At 40.6% G+C, this 16,742-nt stretch overlaps 1 protein-coding gene across 1 annotated transcript in view; it reads right to left on the minus strand.

The window, feature by feature from the left end:
• The window catches only part of KDR (kinase insert domain receptor), a 47,115-nt gene that overhangs the window by 15,637 nt on the left and 14,736 nt on the right, over positions 1-16,742 (minus strand). Inside the window, exons 8-21 of the mRNA NM_002253.4 lie at positions 16,537-16,651; positions 16,286-16,449; positions 13,620-13,776; positions 12,570-12,693; positions 11,715-11,823; positions 10,526-10,867; positions 8,245-8,391; positions 7,780-7,911; positions 4,580-4,686; positions 4,020-4,155; positions 3,545-3,649; positions 2,112-2,225; positions 1,460-1,548; positions 685-838 (exon numbers count right to left, since the gene is read on the minus strand). Of these exons, the coding sequence (NP_002244.1) occupies positions 685-838; positions 1,460-1,548; positions 2,112-2,225; positions 3,545-3,649; positions 4,020-4,155; positions 4,580-4,686; positions 7,780-7,911; positions 8,245-8,391; positions 10,526-10,867; positions 11,715-11,823; positions 12,570-12,693; positions 13,620-13,776; positions 16,286-16,449; positions 16,537-16,651 (1,995 nt within the window). The remainder of the gene's footprint in view (positions 1-684; positions 839-1,459; positions 1,549-2,111; positions 2,226-3,544; positions 3,650-4,019; positions 4,156-4,579; positions 4,687-7,779; positions 7,912-8,244; positions 8,392-10,525; positions 10,868-11,714; positions 11,824-12,569; positions 12,694-13,619; positions 13,777-16,285; positions 16,450-16,536; positions 16,652-16,742) is intronic.

The following is a 16,742-nucleotide window of genomic DNA, read 5'->3' on the forward strand; positions in this document are numbered from 1 at the left end:
AGAATCACTTGAACCCAAAAGGCGAAGGTTTCAGTGAGCCGAGATCGCACCATTGCACTCCAGCCTGGGCAACAGCATGAGACTCCACCTCAAAAAAATAAAAATAAACATAAAAACAAATAAATAAAATATCACTGGAAACATAACTTAATAAAGGCCAGGATATTTATCAAGACTCGCCTGAGGAAGTATGGTTGGAAGGAAGACTTGATAAGCCGCTTGGGGTAGGGTAGAAACAACAGATGGCTCCTAAACTGCCTTTGAGAAGGTTAGGTATAATGAAAAGACTTTTGCACAGGTAAAGCATGCAACGTGGGGCAAACCACTCTGGGGCTCTCCAAGGCAATGGAGAGGCTAGTCAACTACCAGAAAACTTGTGGCCTCTCTCACTAATAAATGCTGAACCAGTATTTTAAGAACACTGCTGTGGTTGTAGCCGACTGCTTAGCCCACTTGGACTACCCAGATTTCTCAGGCTAGCCCTGCTTCACTTCCCAGTCTAGGGCTTCCACACTTCACTTTTGGGGAGACAGAATGGAGGCAGTCTATTATAGAAATTCAGGTCTCTTTCAAATTATGAGGTAGTATTGGACTTTTCCCATGATCAAATTCCTTGTAACACCCTATCACCCTGTCTGCTCTGACAAGAGCATGCCATAGCATGCAGGAAGCACTAGCCAGTACCTTCCTCTTCTTCTACATCACTGAGGGACTTCTCCTCCACAAATCCAGAGCTGGCTGAGCTCTGGCTACTGGTGATGCTGTCCAAGCGCCGTTTCAGATCCACAGGGATTGCTCCAACGTAGTCTTTCCCTTGACGGAATCGTGCCCCTTTGGTCTATAAAAAAGCAAAGGAACAAACAAACTCCTTGAATACAAAATGAGTCTTTAAAAGTTTACAACCTTTAAAATGTAGTAAACCATGGAGATAATTGAAACTACTAAAAAGCAGACAAGGAGGACATCAATTTCAGGATTATGCAATCTCTGAGCTGAAACTTGGGGCAAGTTTTGTGCATAATAGGGTTTCTTCCACAAAGCCTAGCTCCTTCTTTAGCTTAAAGTGACAAATGCCACATTTTGAGTTGCATTCAGACACACTTTCAGCATTAGGATGCTCTTCACAGAGGGATTTACACTCCACGGGGCCAAATATGGCTAGGGGAGAGACAGAATAACCCAGAGATGTCCTACCCTCTGCCCTCCCCTTTCCTCGCTCATACCTGCCTTCTCCCCCATGTCCACACTCTGTAATGGGTCAGTAGATTAAAATCACATACATAAAACAGAAACATATGGCCCCCAGAAGGTAAAAGAGGAAGTTACAACAGCCAAGAGGTAATATGAGAAGATTCCTCACAAGTTCTTCACAAAATTTCAACTAAAAAACTAACCTGTACCATTTTGAGTTTCCCTTCATTTTATAACATGGCCAGAGCAGGATTAGGAGATGACATACCTTGTAGGGGACAAATTCATTTCTCTTGCTCCTCAGGTAAGTGGACAGGTTTCCAAATTTGCAGAATTCCACAATCACCATGAGTGGCCCTGCAGGCAGCATGTCCAGGAAGGAAAATGGGTTTTCACTCATATTCCTCACTAAGCGTTTAATATAGTGATGAACCCAAAAACACCTTAGAAGAAGGCTACAACCTTTCATTGGGACAGGAGTGTAGAAATCAGCTGGTCCCAATCCCCTTATATTGTAGCTTTTCTTTTTTCCAGAACACATTTTCACAAGATTAACCAAAATTTCAGAAGAAAACCCACCCATCTACTTGCTTTTCAGTGCAATCTCCTGATATGATTCCATTTTGGGGGTAACTACCCTTAAGCTTTCAAGTTTTAGGGAAGTTTACTCTTCTCTGGACATCTGTTACACAAGTAACAAACTGTATCATAGTAGCATGACATTTCTTAATTCAGAGAAAGTTTTACAATAATTTAATTCTAGTGCCAATTAAACCTCCATGAAATATATTTATTCCTAGGAATCCGCAAAGTATTCTAAGCTAAGAAAATCAAGGCCAGAGGAGTTGACTGCTTTCCCTCAAACACTATCAGAGAGGCATGTTAAAATTGGGTGACCAAAACCACCCACAGTTACTCACCTCCTGGCTTGGTACAGGCACCTAGAAGGTTGACCACATTGAGATGGTGACCAATATGAATGAGGATCTTGAGTTCAGACATGAGAGCTCGATGCTCACTGTGTGTTGCTCCTTCTACAAATACAGTACAAAGAGGGAAATCATAGGTATGGACATTTCCTTCAATAATTGGGGTCCCTCCCTCCCTGCATGCCACTATACAACTTACCCTCCGGGGTAACACAGCTGTGACCTAGTTTACAGACCACATGCATTTCCTCAAAAGTGAAGTGTAAATTCTATTTTCTAATTTGAAATAAAATTCATATTTTAAGTGAGCCAGAAAGTTTGATATTTAAAGGAACCCATTGTGAAACCTTTTGCAAAGCGGAGAATACATCTGCAGTGGAATCATGCCCAGATTCTCTTCTTCTGCAAAACTGGATTTTTGCATTTCAGGTTCACTATGATTCTGAGGGTCTGATCATTTCAGCACTTCCTCATAAGGAAGCAACACCATGTATTAAATATCTTCACGTGTTAGGGGCTATACCGAATGTTCCAGCCAATCTGTGCCGATCTGTGCAGGCGAATTAAGGCCAGCTGGAAAGACCAGTTGGCACATGAGGCTGATGGCACTAAGACTATGTGTTTGATCCTGTATGGACTGCTACACTTCCCACTAATTCACAGGCATGGTCCACATCTAAGGCTCTGATGAGCCACCTCAAAATTACACACTCCCTTGGCCACAAGAGAAAAAAGGCAGATGGAGAAAGATAGCTTTGAAATGCACAAAACCTATTGGCAAAGGGTCATTGGCACTGCCTTCATCAATGAAAGAACATCACAATTGAAGAAAGAAGCTTTACTGTCTAACCTCCTAAAATGAAAATGGCCAGACCAGAATTCCGTTACTATTAGAATTAACAATTATTTATAAAGCTTTTAATTTAAAAAATATAACCCATTATATTTTTTTCTAACACAACCATTCTTGTTTTGCAAATTATCTTTTACATATGAACATCTTTTACATATTCCAATTCTGGAGAACATGCTATTTTTGTATTTCACTATCTTCCTTTCCATGTCTCTAGATGGTCTATAATTATCTGATTCCACAATATATTAAGAAACAATTTTAATATAACCACAGTCCTTTTTCCCTGTACCCAGAACCACTAAGTACAACTGTGTTGGCTGAGCCCTGCACGAGGGTAACCAGGCAAGAAGGTGAAAGCCATTCCCAACTTTGCTTGCCAGACCATGCATCCTGGCATAAAGCTACAAAGGAGGATCCTTTTTCCAATTTGCACAAGGGCATTATTTAGGCTGACTGCATGTGTGGCTAGTAGGCCCACATAAGCACAAAGCTACTGATACAAGCCTTGCAACATATTTAAAGACTAGATAAAACAGAAAGATAGATCACCACATAATTTTGCTTTTACCTTTCAACATTTTGACTGCTACTGTCCTGCAAGTTGCTGTCTTGTCAATTCCAAAGGCATCTGCTTCAATCACTTGGCCAAAGGCACCACGGCCAAGAGGCTTACCTAGAGTCAACAACAACAGCAACAAGAAAACAGACTTGGATTACTATACAACCAAAGTGATACGCAGAGACATCAACTAGATAGGGTGACCATACATCCCAATTTAACATGGATAGTCCAGTTTACTCCTTTGTCCTGGCTTAATTATTTAATAACTCCCCCTTCACTCTCCAAATGTCCTGCTTTGGATGATTACATAGGGACCCTACCTCTAAGTGGCTATATGAATGATTATACAAATTCAAGAAATGGAATTAATATTTCTAAACCAGAATCCAACATCTGAATACACCACATTTGTCATCATTCTAATGGAGGAAGAGATGGCCTGGTAAACACAATATCAAATTAATAGCAATTGAAAATGCACCTAGCTTCAGCCGGTCTCTGGGGAATTCCCATTTGCTGGCATCATAAGGCAGTCGTTCACAATGTTCATCCAATGGGAGTTCATCTGGATCCATGACGATGGACAAGTAGCCTGTCTTCAGTTCCCCTCCATTGGCCTGGAAAGCATCAATCCTTCCAGTCATAAACACACTGTTGTTTGGCTGTTGTTTTGTGTGCTTGTTATTGCTGTTTATTGGAGCCTCATTCCTGTCTCATTTTCCAATAAAACTCATGGAGTTTGAGAGTGGTCCTATTATAACCCTGCTTCTAGTTTCCCTTGTCCCCCAAAGGAGCTCAGAATTAAGGTTTTAAAGCTTAATTACACTAGACAGTCCAAGCCCTTTTCCTCTCTAGTGGCTTCTATCAATTAAATCCCTGAGATCCAGCCAAAAGAAAGTGGGCAGGAACGTTATTGTATTGAAATAAAAATGTGCCCATTGAGCCAATAACAATGGGAAGAAACAACTCAAAGAACCCCAGTCAGTTTTCATTAATCATGAAAACCAATGTGCATGGGCAGAAGGGAAATTATTTTTTTACCCGCTTAACGGTCCGTAGGATGATGACAAGAAGTAGCCAGAAGAACATGGCAATCACCGCCGTGCCTACTAGAATAATGATTTCCAAGTTCGTCTTTTCCTGGGCACCTGGAAAGACACAATTGAATGAGTATCAACAGTTGGAAACTTATACTTTTTGTTTGTAAGATGACAAATTTTAGCACTAAAGCAAAATCCCAAGCTTACCAACTTGGAAAAATCCTAGAGGACAACAGTTACACACCCGTAACTTGAATGGAGTCTACAGAATTCTTTTTTTGAATTTAATTTATTTATTTATTTATTTATTTATTTATTTATTTATTTATTTATTTTTAGAGACAGGGTTTCTTTCTATGTTCCAGGCTGGAGTACCATGACACAATCATAGCTTATTGCAGCCTCCAATTCCTAGGCTCAAGCGATTCTCCCCCCTCAGCCTCCCGAGTAGCTGGGACTACAGGTGCATACCACCAAGCCCAGCTAATTTTTCTTTTATTTTCTGTAGAGACAGGGTCTCACTACATTGCCCAGGCTAGTCTCGAACTCCTGGCCTCTAGCCATCCCCCCTGCCTTGGCCTCCCAAAGTGCAGGGATTACAGGCATAAGCCACCACACCTGGCCTACAGAATTGTTAATGGAAAATTTAAAGCTTGCAAAACATTGCTCATGTAAACTTACAACAATAAAATTCTTAAGTAATTAAGCATAGAAGTAGTAATGTCTTAAAAGCCAAACATAGAAAGTGTTTAGAGGAAGAGCAGTCTTTGATGGAAAGAAAACAGATCATTCTCTACAGAGAAAAAAAAATATTTCTATTTGAGGAAAACAAAAGTCTTCTTTTAAACTGATAGTCAATATTTTGATCTGTGCAGAGTTTGCAAAAGGATCACATAAGAAACCAAGTAGGGAAATAAACAAAATTTTTTGACCTGAGAGTTACTAATGACCATGTATCTACTATGCACTCATCACTTTAAATATGCCATTCCACTTAATCTCCTCAACAACTCTCAGTTTTCAGATGAAGAAACAGAAGACCAGAGAGCTTAAGCTACTTGACTGAGGGCACACAGCTAGTCAGTGGTTCAGTCAAGAGATAAAGAGGCCTGTCCAACATGAACTAACCATTACATACACTACCCCATCCCTTGTGGCAGGAGTCTGAGTGAGGAGAAGAGGAAGAGCCAAGATGAGCACATCACGCATGGCCTGGTAATGGGAGTTTCAAATCACTCATGAAAGGAAAGAGAAGAGGAAACTAGAAGTCAGCAAGCAAAGCTGCAGATGCTCAGGGCTTCAGAGGACAGCTCTGAGTGGAAGAAACAAAATACAGAAACAGGCTTTCCACTAAGAGTGATTAGCAAAGAGATGATAAGGAAGCAGTCATCACTTGGGGCCTCCCATCAGAAGAGTGCAAGGAGAATCAAACCGGGCCACAAGCTGTGCGGATGGCCCACTACGGCCTCAAGAGAGAAGAAGACAAGTAAGAAACTGGTTTGCAAAATAAGTAACAAATTGGTTTGCAAAATAAAAGTTAACTTAACCATTGAGAGACAAGCACAATTATGCTTGGAGTAAATTTTGTTTCTCTGGTGGTCCTAGGGAAGTAATTCTCTATTTATACACACAGATTTAAAAGTCCAGTTGAACATAGAGGATAAAAAGTTCAAAGAGTCTGTTTTCTATGTGTTTGTATATTAATATTCTCGCATAACATTTGGGAACCCAGCAGGAGTATTAAATATCTAGCTCTGCCTTTCTTAGCATTCACTCCAGGTAAGAAGTAACTATAATCTCTGTGCCAGTGTTACCTAGTTAGGCATCTGTAACCAGCTGCAGGCCACCAACAAGAGGTAATGCAGAGCATCAGAGACAATCTAGACGTCATTCTGCGGATTTGCCCTAAAACATGAATCACTTTGGAAATGACAAAACCGCCATGGTCTTTGAAATCTTTATTTGCAAGTGTAGTTTATGAAATGCTAATAAGCTTATACATTTGAAAATATGTCAACATATCTCGATGCAATACTTGGCATCATAGATTTGGCAGAGTAAAGGGACCAAAATCTAGACTTTGAGAGACAAGTTAGGATGAGTTCATAGAAATCCATCGATCCCTTCTATCACCATACTTCTTTCTTACCCTTGCATACCATTCTTTTACCCCACAACACAGTTTTATTCTTTCCCTGGTGGGCTATAAAAAAAAAAGCCATAGGAATATACTTCTTAAGATAAAATATTCTGCCACAAATTACTTTTCCTAGCTAAGAAAATGACAGATTTCACATCACTTCTGCATACACACGTATTGAGATAAAAACCAAAAATTTTCCATGTCAGAAGAGCAATGGTCTATTGTTCACAAGTGAATCTTAATTATCTCTAGTCCAATTAAAACTCGGAATCCTTGTGACTATCTGGATAGCATTGACTGCCATGATTAGGCAGCAATTCTAATGTTTTTCCAAATAAATATAAAGGCATCATTTCTATAAGTTAATCAAGCCATTCAAACAAAGACAGAATCAGGGAGAAGAGGCTATTCATCCTGCCTGATTAAGAATTTTTCCACAATAAGAACTGCAGGAATAGGAAATGTGATGCAAGCAGAATTATAACAACATTAATTATGTTTGCTGGTTAAAAGAATACATACTCACTGAGAAAATTTACAAAGTACAAAGAATATTAAAAATCATCTGTCGTTGCCCTATTCAAAGTGAATGTGTGTCTATAAGATACAAACTAATCTTCAAAAACCACAGGATGTATCTATGACTTCCCACTGACCTTCTTTTTTTCTTTTAAGTTCCGGGATACATGTGCAGAATGCTCAGGTTTGTTACACAGGTAAACATGTGCCATGGTGATTTGCTGCACCTATTAATCCATCTCCTAGGTATTAAGCCCAGCATGCATTAGCTATTTTTCCTGATGCTCTCCTTCTCCCCAACCCACAGTAGGCCCCAGTGTGTGTTGTTCCCTTCCCTGTGTCTATGTGTTCACATTGTTCAGCTCCCACTTATAAGTGAGAATGTGTGGCGTTTGGTTTTCTGTTCCTGTGTTAGTTTGCTGAGGATAATGGCTTCCAGCTCCATCCATGCAGCTGCAAAGGACATGATCAGATTCCTTTTTACGGCTGCATAGCATTCCATGGTGTATATGTACCACATTTTTTTTTATCCCACTGACCTTCTATTATGAAAAATGCCTCCACTTTTGCACAGCCAAGAACACTGCATGCCTGGCAGGTGTAGAGGCCTTCGTCCTCCTTCCTCACTCTGCGGATAGTGAGGTTCCGGTTCCCATCCTTCAATACAATGCCTAACAGAGGAAGAAAACGATCATTCTCATTTATGATGATGTAGTCTGTGAAGTTTTTCAGGGAAATTTAGAAAATATAAATGCTGCCCTTCATCTTGTTCTATTATCTAACTCTGTAGAGTCACATGGGATCTACTGCTGACTAATCTCCTATATGGCTTTCATGAAAATTCAACAGGGCCCCATACTCCAATTCTAAGTCTGTGAAATGAGCCAGGTCATGGACACCAATACTGCTTTTTTTCTACATTACATCAAGAAATAATATGGCTTTTTAGATAACATCCCTGGGAAAGTTCTGCAACCCAAGAGTGATAGCCAAATTCTATTTACCTGAGTCTTCTACAAGGGTCTCATTATCTTTAAACCACATGATCTGTGGAGGGGGATTCCCAGATGCCGTGCATGAGACTTCGATGCTTTCCCCAATACTTGTCGTCTGATTCTCCAGGTTTCCTGTGATCGTGGGTGCCACACGCTCTAGACACACAAAAAGAAAATCACAGAACATGGAATTATAACTTTTGAAATGGTTCTGGTATCAGCAAACTTTTAAACAGTTTAAATTTAGTAAAAAGGAACTTGTTGATATATTAACTTCTGGGAAAATACACTGGTCACTGGGTAAAGTTAAATGAAACAAGTCAGTCAGGACACTGCAAACAGATTAATGGCTTTTAACATTCATATTAGTGATACTAGCTGGTAATCCCATCACAAAAGAAAGGTTCAGGGTCACCTTTATGGATTTTTCCTCTAATTAGACACAGCCTCCCCAGGTGAAAACTTCCCTCCCATGAAGATTCTAGTCAATAATACCCTAGAATCCCTTCAAATTTCTCTTGGAAGTGCCAAATTTTAGTATCATTCAACCAATAATGCCTTACATTTATTTGGCAATTCTTATAAAACTTGTTTACACAATTTGTGTTCCTCACTAGTGATCTTATGTAATGAGCAGAATAGGACTGTTAGCGTTATCTCACAGATGAAATAAATGATGTTCAGCGACATTAAACCACTTGTCCATGTCCCTGCAACTAAGTAAACAGTTGAACTGTTTACAGAATCTGGTGAGGCTAAAAGACCAGTTCAGTGCTATTTCCACTAAAACACAAACAAAACAACAATACCCTAAGGGAAGTCTTGGATTTAAAGAAAATGAAGCCCATGAGTATTTGTTTAAGTGTACAAGAACACTTTAGATTTATTCTTTCTTCAGATCATCAAAGTGCTGTGGAAATATCTTGTCCCAACCAACTGAACATCAAAAGGAATCATGCTGAAAAAATCCACGTCAACACTTAGCAAAATGAGATTACCTCAACAGCGTACTACATTGAAGTCTAAGCAAATGTACTGGATTCTAGCCTATTTCTAAGAATAGGTTTTAGGAAAACAAGTTAGGAGTCCTTAGGGAAGCAAAGCAGCTAACTGCGAGCACATATTTTCTGGGCACAGCTAGGCCAGGAGCCTACTTCACATCTCTTTCTCAATTCTGCCATAACCTTGAAGCCAGACAAGCCAACAGAAAATCCATGTGATCTATGTGGTGTGACTTGAAGGATGCTGGGGATGACTTGACCCCAAAGTATCTCTTATTATGACACCTGAGTCTTAAAACTAGCGAACTTTATGCTAGTGTCTGTCAGAAGGTGCCTCTTCAAATACGCCAAGGCCTCTGATGAAGACGTTACCCTCTAAAACTGTGGTATAGATGAATTTACTTGGGCAATTTCCTTCCTAACAGTAAAAAAAAAACAGAGGGCACATATATCCTAGGAATTGGAAAGGGACACCACAAGAGGAGAAAATGGAGAGAAGTGGCACAAAGAGACGCTCCCCAAATTTGCCTGATTTTCCCACAGACAAAGCCATGGCTGCCCAGCTTTTGCACAAGGCATGAGGTTAGACAAGGGGTAGACAGTGCCTCTATGGAGGAATTTACAGAGCTATCTGCTCACTGAAGTGATCGTCCCATTGACCTTGGGCTACGCTGGATCATGTGGGATGACCCAGAGGTACAGACAGTGAATGTAGCTTCCTTCCCATGGAGTCTTCTAGGTCTTAAACGCAGCCCATCATCCCACTCTTCATGCAGCAGGTGCCTTATTGAGCAGTTAGTATATGCTGCTATGCTCTATGACTAGAGCTATAGCAGGGAGCAAAACAGAGAACAATTCCTGTTCTCATGGACACAGAGACCTCACTGTGCTGTGACTTCCCAGTGGTTGCCTATGTTCTCCTCCTTTCCTTCATGTTTACCACTGTGAATTTCTGACACTCTCCTAGCTCATAGCAGGCATTCCACAAATATTTGTCTATTTAAATAAATGGATGCCCAAGATAAGGCAGAAGTTTCCCTGGTTCAAGCTAATATCCCTTGCATATACTAGTGAATTACTCCATCATCAGGTTTTGTTATTTTCTCCTTTCGATATATCATTTCATTATTATTAGCTTCTTTCTTCCTCAAGGACTTTCGGTGAAGAAGTGTGCACCAGTTTACAACATAATCTCCTAGAGGACAGTAATCTTTGCATAGCACCTGAATTGCACTACATTTAAGGCATTCCAACTGCCTCTGCACAATGATCCAGAATTGTCTCCCTACCTAGGACTGTGAGCTGCCTGACCACGCAATGTCTTTTCTTGGTCTTCCTGTCTTGAGCAAGGCAGACATAGTCTCCTTGGTCCTGCAAGGATGCATTCTTAAGCTCCATGATCAAAATGTCATTTGTGCTATTAGAGAACATGGTGGCATTCAATTTCCAAAGAGTATCCAAGTTCTTGCAAACAGGTGTGGGCAACTCTCCCACATGGATTGGCAGAGGCTGTGGGCCAAGCTTGTACCATGTGAGGTTCTCAAACGTAGATCTGTCTGCAGTGCACCACAAAGACACGCTCTCCTGCTCAGTGGGCTGCATGTCAGGTTGCAAAGTAATTTCAGGACCCCCTAAAATGAAGAGGCCATAGTTATTGAATGGTGATTTAACTTGGTACAGCTCACTATCATCTTGCTGCTTTCAGACTACTACAAAGTACCAAAAGAAATGAAGCTCTATCCGTTCCAGGTGATGTACTACAACTTGACAAACAAACTAGACAATTCAGGTCCCAAAATATCTTATTTGGCCAAACACATTACTTGAAAATGTAAACGAATTCCTCAGATATTTACCACATCTCCACTATGAGCTCTACGCAATGTTTAATATATTAAAAATCCAAAGCAAAATCTCTAATTCTAACAGAATTTTAAAATTAGGTCTTCATTAACACTAACACTCAATGATATGAAAGCTACATTTATGCCAATGAATTAGCCCTGGCTATAATATTCCATTCAGCACAATCAGCTAAAGCTTATCCATAAAACTAAGATGCACAGGCAAAATCGGCAGCATTGGGAGGGCACTGCTCCTATGTCCTTCTGATTGCCTCCATAAAGCCCACCCTCATCAACTGTTCCACAGCAAGCCCACCAATATGTACTGAAGCTCAATAAGCCAGGCACTGTGCCAGACTCTGAAGACTGAGATGTAAATACCACACAGAGCTTGTGGTTTAAAGCATCTGTGAAACCATTCTCTCTCCAGTGTAGTTAGACGCACTGACTTCACATAAGCCCAGGAGATACCTGAGAAGTTGTAATTTATGAATGAAAGCATCAATGATCAATCCAAGTCCTCTTTCCTAAATGCCATGCCACTCACATGAATGGCAAAAACAACAGGGAATTACATAGCTTAGTACCCACTGTGTGAGTGATCCAACCCAAACCTCCAGAGAAGAGTACTTACTGGTCACGTGGAAGGAGATCACCCTCTCTCCTCTCCCGACTTTGTTGACCGCTTCACATTTGTACAAAGCTGACACATTTGCCGCTTGGATAACAAGGGTACTTACAGTCTGTGCGGGGAAAAAACAAATCCCAGGCCATAAACAACGCGGCTGTTTGTGCACAAGCACTCAGTCCAGCAGTCTCCACAATCACTCCAACCTGCCTATGCCATTCCCACTTCTGCAGCGGTTGGACACGCTCAAATTTATGCAATTGCAGGTTGAGTATCCCTTACTCAAAACGCTTGGGACCAAAAGTGGTTTGGATTTTGGATTTTTTTTTTTGGATTTTGGAATATTTGCATTGTATACTTACCAGTTGAGCATCCCTAATCTGAAAATCCAAAATGCTCCAACGAGCGTTTCCTTTGAGCACCATGTCGGCACTCAAAAAGGTTCAGAATCTGGAGCATTTTGGATTTGGGGTTTTTAGGTTTGGGATATTTACTCAATTTGTATAATTATGCTGCTGTGGAGCTCACACATTATATAAAAAGGGCTTTGGAAGCCATGAAACTAATGATGTGTTTTAATATGATATGATACACATTTTTTCATTCTCATGTTTATAAAATCAGAATCACCCTACACAGATGCATAGATTTAATGTCATAGATGTTTTTATTTTTCTCTGATAAGCTATTAATAAGTTAATGGTACTGCTAAAAGTCAATGGTATTTTCAAAGTGACTTAATACGCTCTATTTAATCATCCAGACTATTTGATTATTAATCTCCAATATGCCTCACATATTATTGTACCATCCTTCCATTAAAGAGAGAGAGATTTTCAAATTTTAAAACTTCAAACTCACTTTGTTTTTTCCTTCAATTAGAGCAAATTGATTTTTATTAACTTCAATTTTATTTCCTCCCTGGAAGTCCTCCACACTTCTCCATTCTTCACAAGGGTATGGGTTTGTCACTGAGACAGCTTGGCTATAAGAAAGAGATAACAGCGCATATTATGATTTAATTTTTCTTTAATTAGAGTCAAGAGTAAGGAAAAGATTCAGACTTTGGTTATTCTGTTCTTAGAAATAACTTCCAACGCAGCCTACCATGGTACAAGACTTGGCGCCAATTAAAAATAGGCATTGACAATGAAGGAAAAGGTTCTAGGTAGATTCATTCAGGATACAGGAGGGAAGCAGCTATTCTGGGAATAAACCTTCATTCATAAATTGGATCGACAAGACAATTCAAGTTAATTTAGTTCAAAGGAAGGCAAGGAAACTTAGAAGCCACTGGGCTCCTTAAAGTAATTTCTCTGGGACCATGGTCTCTGTGAAGGAAATGATCAGCAGCTGAGGAAGAAGCTCATAGTGGCCATTTCAAAAACAACAACAGGAAGTGGACTGCTTAGGGTGGTGGTGGGTTGGCTGCTGTTGTTGTGTTTTTCCCTAAGGATGTCTGGACTTGTGTCAGAGCATGATAAGCTGGGCCTGAGACCCTGAGGACTGGGGCTGGGTCTATCACTGCCTCTCATCTATCAGCATTTCCTCTGAGAGATGGATCTTCACACACACAAGAAGGAGGGATGTGGTATTCACCAGCCGATTGGTATCGGGAGAAAAACCAAAGACTGGCAATTAGCAAACTGAGCAAATAGCCTGTGTTTGGAGAAGTGTACCTCACGGCTAACCTAACAAGGCTGAGCTTAGCTAACCCCAAAGGAGGATACTCCAAGCAAAGACATCCCCTAAAATGTAAGACACAGAGAAAGATGGATGGAGATTCAGGCTACCTCTTGAGAGAAAACTTTTTTTGGTTTAGGCTTCTCCATTTAGGATGGAGTCATATCATAGCTCAGCTGTAAGAAATGCAAGATGGCAGGAAAGCAAAGAGCATGTGGCCTTACTCACCTGGGCTCGTTGGCGCACTCTTCCTCCAACTGCCAATACCAGTGGATGTGATGCGGGGGAGGAATGGCATAGACCGTACATGTCAGCGTTTGAGTGGTGCCGTACTGGTAGGAATCCACAGGAGAGATTAGAGATTTCTCACCAATCTGGGGTGGGACTGAAGATGGGAAAAACAACTTTTGAATTGTCAGTCAGCTTTGAAGAATGGGAAATAGAGGATTTTAGCAACTAAAGCTGACTTTCTTTAAGCATATGATTTTGCTTCCACTTTCTTTTTCGAAGAACACCTAGATGTGGAAACAAGAGACCTGAGTTCTAGTGATACTCATAAAAATAACAACTAGCCAGGCATGGGGGCTTATGCCTGTAATCTCAGTATTTTGGGACGCCAAGGTAGGTGGATCGCTTAAGCCCAGGAGATCAAGACCAGCCTGGGCCACATGGTGAGACCCCATCTCTACCAAAAAAAAAAAAAAGGAATAAAGTAACGAAATAAAATAAAAATGACAATAAGCTAATAATAATAATAAACTAACAAGCTGAATGACTTTATGGAAGTGTTGAAATCCTGTGCCTCTCATCTGTATTACAGAGATAGTTCTCTCTGTCCTCTCAAGTTTAGGAGATCAGGGAAAGGCTACAGAAAACAGCTGAAATAGCACAGTAAATACATTTATTATGTGCCAAGCATTGTTTGAAGTGCTTTGCATGAATTCATTCACTTAATCCTCACAACCACTATTACTGTCCACAGCTTTATACGTGAGAAAAAAATGAAACAGAAAAAAATGACTCGCCCAAGGTCACTCAGTTAACGAACGGCAAAACCTGGAACAAACCTAGACACTCTGACTTCTGAACCCAAACACGTAAACCACCTCATGTTAAAGGAAGGTGTAAATCTTTAGAGAATGCATTCCTGCCACCATCATCTGAGTTTTTCATTCTCTCTCCCTCTTCCTCCCTCCCTCCCTCTCCACTCCCTTTCCCTCTTCCCCTTTCTTCCTTCTCCCTTCTCTCACTTCCTTCTTTCTTCTCTCCCTTTTTCCTTTCTTTCTTTTTTGACTCCAAAGTCAAAACTATTTCCTTATTACTGTCAACCTAAAGCCTCAGATTATGCTTTGAAGACTTGACTTCTTTTTTATGTTTATTTCATATAGCAGAGAATTTGCTAAAGTGAATAAAATATTTAGTGGCTTCATGAACTGATGAAATGGGCTATTTGCTGTCCGTGTTTTGTTTTTATTTCCTGTTCATTTCCTCCTCCCATCCTACTTATACACTTTCCAGTTTCTCCTCTCCCCAGTCCCCTACACCTATGCTGCTTCTAAACAACCTTTTTGGAACCTGTTAACTTTTTTTTTGAGACGGAGTTTTGCTCTTGTCACCAGGCTGGAGTACAATGGTGCGATCTCGGCTATCTGCAACCTCCACCTCCTGGGTTCAAGTGATTCTCCTGCCTCAGCCTCCCAAGTAGCTGGGATTACAGGTGCCCACCACCATGCCTGGCTAATTTTTATATTTTTAGTAGAGACGGGTTTTCATCATGTTGGCCAGGCTGGTCTCGAACTCCTGACCTCAGGTGATCCATCCGCCTCGGCCTCCCAAAGTGCTGGGATTACAGATGCAAACCACGGCACCCAGCCTATCTTTAAAATATTCCCTGAAAAAAAATAATAAAGCCAAGTTCAGCGGCCTACAGAAGAGTATCAGGACACGTAGGGAAGCACCTTAATGTCATGGGAAAATATCCTGAAGTTTTAATATGCCGTACCAGAAGGGGGAACAAAGAATTACAACAGAGAAGCATTTCTCAAACTGTTTGGAGTGAGAGATTAATGAATTTGCTCAGGGGAAAAAAGGTGCTCTGGTCAAATAGGTTTGTTAAACCTTGAATACTCTATGTCTCTCCTCCTGGAGAATACCAATATACATTAGCATATAAAAGGTTCTGCGAAGTCCTGCAATAAAGAAACCTGTTACACATCTACACATCACCTTAGCACCTCTCACACTCACTTGACCATGGCACCCTTCTCCCCACTCCATTCCAAACACTTATTTGTACCTTTCAGTTTCAGAAAACAAAGTTCAAATTATCTTTACATCAAAAACTTACTATCTTTCCTTTACAGACTCAAAATCAGATCCTGAACTCCTGTCAAAAAGGAAAAAAGAAAAGCTCCCAACCAAGCCAACAGTGTCAACTTCAAAAGCCTTCAGAGTTGGAACGTGCCTGCACATCTCTGATACATCAACTACAACATCAAACTAGAAGCTTTGCACAAAATCTAAGGAGAAGGGTCTTACACATCTGTGTACCAGGTGGGCAATTCCATGAGAGGGGAACATGGTAGTATAACTTAGCTTGACAACTGTCCCTGTGGGCATTCTTATTTCACAACATTTAGCTATCGAGGGTATCACTACTTTAATCTTGCATTTGTCCACCACAAAGCTCATTTACACGGCCTCTTAAACAAACATGGCCAGAGCACATGGTCCTACGTTTCACTTCAGCTTCACCACGCCAGATGACTTTTGTACGCAGGCCCAGCCATGATATGAGTGAAGCAGCAGGAGGCAGAGGAACGGTGGTTTGGCTGATTTGGAAGACAATGTATCATAATAAATCTTGGGCAGAGAGGAAAATTGAATGGACTCACCATACACAACCAGAGAGACCACATGGCTCTGCTTCTCCTTTGAAATGGGATTGGTAAGGATGACAGTGTAATTTCCTGTGTCTCTTTCACTCACTTCCATAATCGTCAGTACATGCCCCGCTTTAATTGTGTGATTGGACTCAAGGGGTATTCCATTTTTATACCTATGAAAAAAAATTCTCAGGAATTAGTATAGTCAAAGGATTTGCTCTCACACGAAATGATGCTTTGCATTTATTTCCAGTAGTTACCATTTTATTTCTGGGGGTGGGTAACCAAGGTACTTCGCAGGGATTCTGACACGCTCCCCCACCGTGGCTTCCACCAGAGATTCCATGCCACTTCCAAAAGCAACAAAAGGTTTTTCTGGAAGAAAATAAAAAAAAAAAAAGGTCAACTTACTGTAAATGGTCATTTGATTTAGTTTTTCATTTCAAGTGAAACGTCAAAGACCTTG

Source organism: Homo sapiens, chromosome 4 (genome assembly GCF_000001405.40).
Source record: "Homo sapiens chromosome 4, GRCh38.p14 Primary Assembly".
Lineage (NCBI taxonomy): Eukaryota > Metazoa > Chordata > Mammalia > Primates > Hominidae > Homo > Homo sapiens.